This window comes from Homo sapiens, chromosome 1, assembly GCF_000001405.40.
Source record: "Homo sapiens chromosome 1, GRCh38.p14 Primary Assembly".
Taxonomy (NCBI): Eukaryota; Metazoa; Chordata; class Mammalia; order Primates; family Hominidae; genus Homo; species Homo sapiens.
Window position 1 is genome coordinate 21,173,711 of NC_000001.11, and position 8,504 is coordinate 21,182,214.

The window sequence follows — 8,504 nt, forward strand, 5'->3', positions numbered from 1 at the left end:
TGAACTTATTAATTCAATGCAAACACAACTATACCCACATACTTTGAGGGTCTGGAGATCTATTCAAGCCATGAACAGTGCTAACTCCAGCTATGCACTCCTGCCAAGATGCTTAAATGTTATCCACTTATTGAACAATGACCACTTGCGTCAAATACAAATTCCCATACTCCCTCAGGGTAGAAAAGTAGAACTGCTCTATTTCAATCCTTTTTTAATCAATACCCCATTACCAGTTGATAACACTTCACCACTGGTATGTCTGATGAAATCTACAACCTATACTTCCTTTACTGTTTATATAATAAAATTTTCTATTTTAGCAATTGTAACCTTTCAGTGTGTAAAAGCAAAGAGAAAACAATAAGAGCTGTGAAACACATCAAGAGGAAGATTAATTTTAGCTTCAATGGCATGAGGCAAAGTAAAAACTTAAAGCCACACAAAAGTAAGTGTTCCATATGACTAAAATTGGTTTAAAATTATCTACACTGGAACTTACACTTAAATTTATCTCTTTAACAAGTGCTTTTTATTCAAAAGAAAATTAAGTTTCAGCTTTTGTAACTACTTGAATGTTGCAACCAACTCAGAGCTTTTATAAGTCCTTCTATGAAATGCACTGAGAAAAAGCATACTTGAAACACAGCTGTATCCCAAAAAGCCACCCAATTCACCAAACAGTGTCACATTCAGCACTGTGGTCCTTACTACTCTGTACATCAAGGACACCTACTACAGGTTTCCTTTTATTTCTGTTCAATTGCCAAAACAGCTCAAAGATGCAGGTAATGAGTAATTTACGTGGTAGCACAATTCAGAAACTTAAAAGTCCTAACCGAGTATAGGCAATCAAGGTAAAAAATGAAATTAGAAAGGAATTTAAACTCACAAAGTAGTAAGCAAAGACAGGTTTAAAAGATTCAACACTGAACTCTGCCTTTAAGTAGGCAAACCAGCCAATCTTCCCCCACCCCAGAGACACTGAACAAAACCAACCAGGTTTTCCATAAGCAACGCTAAGTTATCACCACACTTTCTCATCGGTGAACAATTCCTAATTGAACAGAATCATGCAGGATAAAAACATTATGAAATCAGTACACACGTCACACTGGAATGGAATTTATCTTTACACTGCACCGCGGTGCCTGGATTGAAAATCACGAACTAGGTTTAAAGAACAGAGAAAATGACACTTGGCAGAAAACAAACAATGACCTGAAATGACTCTAGAAGGGAGATTGCTTTCCCTTCTCAAAGTAATCTATACAGACAAGAATCAAACTACAGACTGTGAAATAATCTGGGGACCTCACAGCAGTTAGCTTCTTACTTGCTCAAACATCCTACAATCTCTAAAAGTCAAACGCACGATGACACAAACATAAAAACACAACACATCTAACATCCAATCATTATTTATTGATTTACACAAATACAGTGGGTGTAGGGAGGAGGTGATGCATGATGAAATGTTATTCTCAGGTACGCAATACCTTTCTAAATCTCCGTGGAATACATGAATTCAACGTTTTACCTTCACCGGCTAGTTTTTGACTAAAATACCCCATCACCAAGTCTTTTCAATCAAAGCTCTCCAAAATTCTACAATCGAGCAAATAACATGAAATTAGAAACATTCAATACTAGACTTTCCTCCAGAAGCCCTGGTAACTCTCTAGACATCAGGCCTATGAGGAGTAAATTAAAGCCCATTAAAAATATTCAGCCTAACACAAATCTTCCAAGAAGTGAGACTTTTGTGGGTGATGGGTAATGTCGGTGAACTTCCTCTTCCTTTAAAAAGGTCAAAGACAGGGAAGCGTCCGGCGTCACATTTCCTCCTCAGATCTCTACCACAAACCACATCACAACTCTCCCATTACTAAAAAAAATTATCCAGAGGAACTGCTTTCTGTACATTTTCACCTTAGACTGAAAATCCAACATACCTCGGAAACGAGCTGATTGGTTTCAAACAAGAAATTTACCGATAAAGTTTATTATGTACTAATAATAATTATGGAAGCCCACTGTGTCCCGCTGTAGGGGGAGCCGAGGGGAGGTGAAGAGCAGGAGGGTGTAATCCTCACAACAACCAGAGAAAAGCCTTCCCTGCAGGGTTGGTCCCAGGCACCAAGCAAATTCTGCCCAATAAAGGGGGGGAGGGTACCTTAGGGGAGGAGGGGAGAAGGGACCCCAAGCTCTAAAAGGAAGGGGCTGCAGAAGCATGGCCAAGTGGGGCTAGCTTTCACAGTATTGCAGAGGGTCTGGGGGTCCCCCCGCAGTGCTGCTGCCGGGGCACCCCAAAAGCTCCGCCCAAGCCCGATGCAGGGGCTTGAGCCGCTGTCCCTTTCCTGGCTGGGCTGTGGCGGCCGGCAGGAGGGTCCCCTGGGCTGCGGGGTCCCCCTGGACTGCGACGACGAGAACCGAAGGGCCGACAGGAAGGTGAAAAGGATACTGTTGGGGCGCCTGAGTCTGGAGGGCCCTGATGTTCGGGTGAGGAGGGGGGACCGCTGCCGCCGCCGCCGCCGCCGCCGCCGCCGCCGCCGCTGCTGCCGCCGCCGGGTGAGGAGGCGGTACCGCTGCTGCCGCCGCCGCCGCCGCTCCGGTGCCGGGTCCGGTTCCTGCTGCAGTCGCTGTGCCTGATTTCAGAGCCGGTTTCTGCGGTAAACTCATGGCAAAGCGAAGCCACCAACCCCCCCAGAGCGGGACCGGGCGCGCCGGGGTGCAGGGGCCGGGGGCAGCGGGGGGGCGGGATGGGGGCAGACCCGGGGAGGCGGCGGGAGCGGGGGGCTGGGGGGAGCCTGGGGGGAGGAGGAGGAGGGGGCCGGGGCCGGTCACACACGCCCGACGCCGCCGCCGCCGCCGCCGCCGCCTCCGCCGCCGCCGCCGCCGGCAGCAGCAGCCGCCCCGCGGGCCAGCACCACCGGCTGCCGGTCTCCGTGACAACGCGACCCCAGGGGGGGGGCCGGACCCGGCGGGGGCAGGAGGCGGAGAGACCGGACCTTTCACGGCAATATCCTCATGGGCCGGCGGCGGGGGATCTTTATCCCCCTCCCCGGAGGAAGCGGCGCCCTTCTCGGTAGCGGGGCTCAGGCGATGCCGGTGGATTTTCTTCACTCAACGAGCAGAGCATCCAACATGGCGCTGTGGCCGCCTCCAGCAGTCCGGCAGGACGGCTGCTCGGAAAACTTCGGACTTTTTCGGAATGGCTCGGGAAACCGAGGGTGGGAAGCCTCTTCGGCTCTTTCCGGAGACTGCTAGGGGTCGGGATTCTTCGGAGACGCTCGGGTGCGTCCTCGGCCGCCGTTCGGGAGGGCTCAGGGGCTAACTCGCTTCCTCGGCAAAGATCGGCGAGGGAGGCTTCGCTGGCTTACAGCGGCGCGGGTGCGGGGCGGAGGGAAAGACCAAAGGCGAGGTCTGGCTTGCGAGAGTCCTCCCCTGCGGCCCAGCCTCGAAGAACAATGGTAATGGCCCCGGAGTCGGCTGTTCGCTGAGCCCCGCTCGCAGGGGCGGAGAGGCAGCGGCGAGGCGAAAAACCCCTGGAGAAGGAACCGCTTAACCGGAATGGAACCCGTTGGATAGGGACCCCCCGCGGGGACTTCGCGTAACCAATGCCACCCGCCGGCCTGTAACCCACGCATTTCACACCCATTGTGTCGACACTTCCTCAGACGCTCTGAGAGGTGAATGAGGAGCCCCATTTCCAGAGGACACAGAGGAAAAGTGACTAGCCCAAGGTCACCCTATCGGGAAAGGACAGAGCCTAAATCTAAATGCCACCTTCATCTGGATGAACCTTGCCGCCTCCCATATTGGCTGGGGACATGACCTGAGCCGCCATATCTAATCAGCAGCCTTAACTGAGCTCTGTGGATGGATTCAAACCTAGGCCTTCCCCAGGACTGGAGCGCCCTTTGACCAGCAGCCAGTGATCAGCTCCCCAATGTCCTATGCTGGGTGACATTTGTTGATAAGGATTTTCTTCCCAGCTAGACCTGCCAAGATCACTCCCACCCCCAACCCCGCACACCCCACTCCTTAGCAGGTGCCTTGTCCTAAGCACAGTGGCATTGAGTGGGAAAGAATGGCAGGCATCGGCCGGGCGCGGTGGCTCACGCCTGTAATCCCAGCACTTTGGGAGGCCAAGGCCGGTGGATCACTTGAGGTCAGGAGTTCAAGACCAGCCTTGCCAACATGATGAAACCTCGTCTCTACTAAAAATACAAAAATTAGCCAGGCGTGGTGGCAGGCACCAGCTACTCGGGAGGCTGAGGCGGGAGAATCACTTGAACCCAGGAGGCGGAGGTTGCAGTGAGCTGAGAGAGTGCCATTGCACACTAGCCTGGGCGCGACAGAGTGAGGCTTCGTCTCAAAAAAAAAAAAAAAATGGCAGGCGTCATGGAGCAATCAAGTTTTAATATAATATTTACCAGACATGGCACTAAGCGCTGTACCCTTCATTATCTCAAGCAGTCCTGTGAAATAGGTAGTATCCATTTTACAAATGAATAAACTGAGACTGGGGAGGCTCAATACCATCAAACCACAGAAAAGCTGAGAAAATTGAGGCTCAAAACGCACAAAAGACTTCCCCGAGGTCGCACCGACAGTGTGGCTGGCAGAGCTAAGATTAGAGTCTAGTTCTGACTCCTGCTATCCTGCTTCACACACTGCCTTACTATTTTGTTGTTGCTGTTTTTTGAGACGGAGTTTCGCTCTTGTTGCCCAGGCTGGAGTGCAATGGCACGATCTCGGCTCACGGAAACCTCCGCCTCCCATGTTCAAGCGATTCTCTTGCCTCAGCCTCCCGAGTAGCTGGGATTAGAGGCATGCGCTACCACGCCTGGCTAATTTTGTACTTTTAGTAGAGACGGTGATTCTCCATGTTGGTCAGTCTGGTCTCAAACTCCCAACCTCAGGTGATCTGCCTGCCTCGGCCTCCCAAAGTGCTGGGATTACAGGCGTGAGCCACCGCGCCTGGCCTATTGTTGTTTTTAATTCATATAAAGCTCTACACATAGTGGATGCTTAATTCGTGACAATCCCTGGGAGCCCCAAATGCTCCTTCTAGGATAAAAGAGCATCTGAAAGAGAGTGATACCACAACCCCCCTACGGCGTCTTTCTAGCTAGAGCTCCACAGTTTCTGACATTGAAAAGGATGCCTCATCCCCATCTCCAGACTGGAAGACAGCAGCTACTTCATACTGTGGCATCTTAAACTGTCTGGATTTGTAACACCTGATTTTTTTATTTATTTATTTTTTTTTTTGAGACAGTCTCGTTCTGTCGCCCAGGCTGGAGTGCAGTGGCGCAATCTTGGCTCGCTGCAAGTTCTGCCTCCTGGGTTCACGCCATTCTCCTGCCTCAGTCTCCCAAGTAGCTGGGACTACAGGCACCTGCCACCGTGCCCGGCTGATTTTTTTTCTCTTTTTGTATTTTTGGTAGAGATGGGGTTTCACTGTGTTGGCCAGGATGGCCTCGATCTCCTGACCTCGTGATCCGCCCGCCTTGGCCTCCCAAAGTGCTGGGATTACAGGCGTGAGCCACCATGCCCGGCCTGTAACACCTGATTATTTAGGATGGGATTTTCTGCTCCTCTCCACATATAATTGACTCCAGGAAGAATTCCCTAGTGGTCCTTCAGTTCCCCAGATTCTCCTTTCATTTTCTGGAATCTCAGGCATCCTTATCCCAATCAAAACCTGTTCCAAGGAAATTATTTGACTTCTCATTTACACTAGGGTGATAACAGGCCGATAATTGCCTAATTGTTATTCTTTTCTGAGCTAGCTTCATTTTCTAACTTAATAATAGCTACAAGCATCAGACAATTACTGTGTGCCAGTCTTAGCTAAGCACTTTATGAAACTTATCTGTTTTAAAATGGATAGACCTTGGGCAAAATAATGTAAAAGTCCCTGATAAGATTCTGGCCACAGGCAATCAATGGAGGAAGTTTGTAGGGAACAAAGTCAAAAAGGTAGAGCTCTGTTCTTTCAGCCCAAAGAATGGCCTTGCTCAAGTCTAGACCTCACTTGCATATATATATATATTATATAATTTATTAATTAATTAATTAATTATATATTTAATATATTATATATAATATATATTATATATTATATATATCAAGCAGCAGATATAATATATAATATATATAATATATATAATATATATTGTATATTATATAATATATAATATATATAATATATATTGTATATTATATAATATATAATATATATAATATATATTGTATATTATATAATATATAATATATATAATATATATTGTATATTATATAATATATAATATATGTAATATATTATGTAATATATTATATAATATATATTATATATTATATATAATATATATTATATATAATATATATTACATAATATATTACATATATTACGTAATATATGTTATATATTACATATAATATATAACATATATTACGTAATATATGTAATATATTACATATAATATATACATTATATGTAATATATATGTTATATATTATATAATATATATTTTATATATATATATATGATTGTTGTTGTTTTGAGACAGAGTCTCATTGTCTCCCAGGCTGGAGTGCAGTGGCACGATCTCAGCTCACTGCAACCTCCACCTCCTGGGTTCTAGCGATTCTCCCACCTCAGCCTCCCGAGTAGCTGGGATTATCGTGTGCACCACCACGCCCAGCTGATTTTTTCGTATTTTTAGAAGAAGTAGGGTTTCACCATATTGGCCAGGCTGGTCCCAAACTCCTGACCTCAAGTGATCCACCAGCCTCGGCCTCCCACAGTGCTGGGATTACAGGCATGAGCCACCGTGCCTGGCCTATTTATTTATTTTTGAGACAGGATCTCAGGCTGGAGTGCAGTGGCTCAATCACGGTTCAGTGCAGCCTCGACTTCCCCAGGCTCAGGTTATTCTCCCACTTCAGCCTCCTGAGTAGTTAGGACTACAGGTTCGCACCACCATGCCCGGCTAACTTTTGTATTTTCTTGTAGAGACAAGGGTCTCACCATGTAATCCAGGCTGGTCTCAAACTCCTGGGCTCAAGTATAATCTGCCCACCTCGGCCTCCCAAAGTGCTGGAATTACAAGTGTGAGCCACCACTCCCTGCTTCTACAAATTTAAAAACTGAGATTCAAAGATGTGAAAATTCTCATAACTTTTAAGTAAATGTACAGGGATTCAAACCCAAGGCATCTGACTCTAGGTCTGATTTGCCAGGTTGCCTTCAGCATAGCAACCTACCCACTATGGCCAGAGGTACTGTCAACAAGAAAAGCTGATTTTGTTAACTTTCCTGTTACCATCACCTTCAGGATCCAATCTAAATCTAAAGTCCTTCAGAGTCTGGGCTCTGCTTCCAATCTGCCACACTCCACCTCAAATTCAGAGCTGCAGCCACCTTGGTCTATTGGAAATGAAACCATTCTCCTTGCCCTGGGGCCCATGTGCAGCCTGCTGCTGCTCCCTGTATCCCTAAACCGTCCTCACTCCCCTTAGCCAATTGGCTAATTCCTGATTCAAGGTTTGGCTCAAGCATCACCTCCTCAAGGCAGCCTTTTTTCACTCCCCAAGCTGAACTAGGGACCCTTCCTCTAGATCCCCTTGGCAGTGGATGCTTAAAACTCTCAGGGCACTCTCCACGAGTGCGGCCACTGAAAGCAAATGACCTGAGTTTGATTCTTAGCCCTACCATTGATTAGCTGTATGATCTTGGAGAACGCACTTAATTTCTCCAAGCCTTGGTTTTCTTATCTGTAAAATAAAGAGGTTCTACCTCCTAGAGTTATCATAAAAAATAAAACAAATGTGGCCAGGCGCAGTGGCTCACGCTTGTAATCCTAGCACTCTGGGAGGCCGAGGCCGGCAGATCATGAGGTCGGGAATTTGCGACCAGCCTGGCCAACACAGTGAAATCCCATCTCTACTAAAAATAAAAAAATTAGCTGAGCGTGGTGGCGGTGCCAGTAATCTCAGCTACTTTGGAGGCTGAGGCAGGAGAATCGCTTGAACCCAGGAGGTGGAGGTTGCAGTGAACCGAGATTACACCACTGCACTCCAGCCTGGGCAACAGAGCTAGACTCCATCTCAAGAAATTAATTAATTAATTAATAAAACAAATGCAAAACCCTTAGCTCAGTCCCTGGCTCATAGTAATTCTTGGATAAGTTTTAGCTATTTCTTTTTCATTTATGCAGGGAGATTACTTAGCCTTTTTGTTTTTTTTTTTTTTTTTTTTTTTGAGACATAGTTTCGCTCTAGTTGCCCAGGCTGGAGTGCAATGGCACGATCTCTGGCTCACCGCAACCTCCACCTCCCAGGTTCAAGTGATCCTCCTGCCTCAGCCTTCCAAGTAGCTGGGATTACAGGCATACACCACCACGCCCAGCTAATTTTGTATTTTCAGAAGCGACGGGGTTTTTCCATGCTGGTCAGGCTGGTCTCAAACTCCCAACCTCAGGTGATCTGTC

The 8,504-nt window shown here is 47.0% G+C and overlaps 1 protein-coding gene across 29 annotated transcripts in view, besides 1 other annotated feature; it reads right to left on the minus strand.

Moving 5' to 3' along the window:
* Positions 1–3,187, minus strand: part of EIF4G3 (eukaryotic translation initiation factor 4 gamma 3) — a 370,606-nt gene extending 367,419 nt beyond the window's left edge. For 19 of the 29 annotated variants that reach the window (XM_047433366.1, XM_047433324.1, XM_017002707.3 and 16 more), the window contains exons 1-2: positions 3,012–3,187; positions 2,465–2,648 (exon numbers count right to left, since the gene is read on the minus strand). Coding sequence is in view for 1 of the 29 variants with exons in the window: in XM_047433231.1 (XP_047289187.1) it covers positions 2,465–2,682 (218 nt within the window). In the remaining 28 variants the exon portion in view is untranslated. Of the gene's footprint in view, positions 1–2,464; positions 2,704–3,011 lie in introns of those variants that run through there. The other 10 variants (XM_047433321.1, NM_001391899.1, NM_001391893.1 and 7 more) reach the window with 3 other exon arrangements.
* Positions 3,102–3,151: an enhancer, noted in NCBI's record as "active region_325". NCBI's record gives its function as "activates an Ori minimal core promoter by ATAC-STARR-seq in GM12878 lymphoblastoid cells {active_cell/tissue: GM12878}" and the evidence as "EXISTENCE:reporter gene assay evidence [ECO:0000049][PMID:35858748]".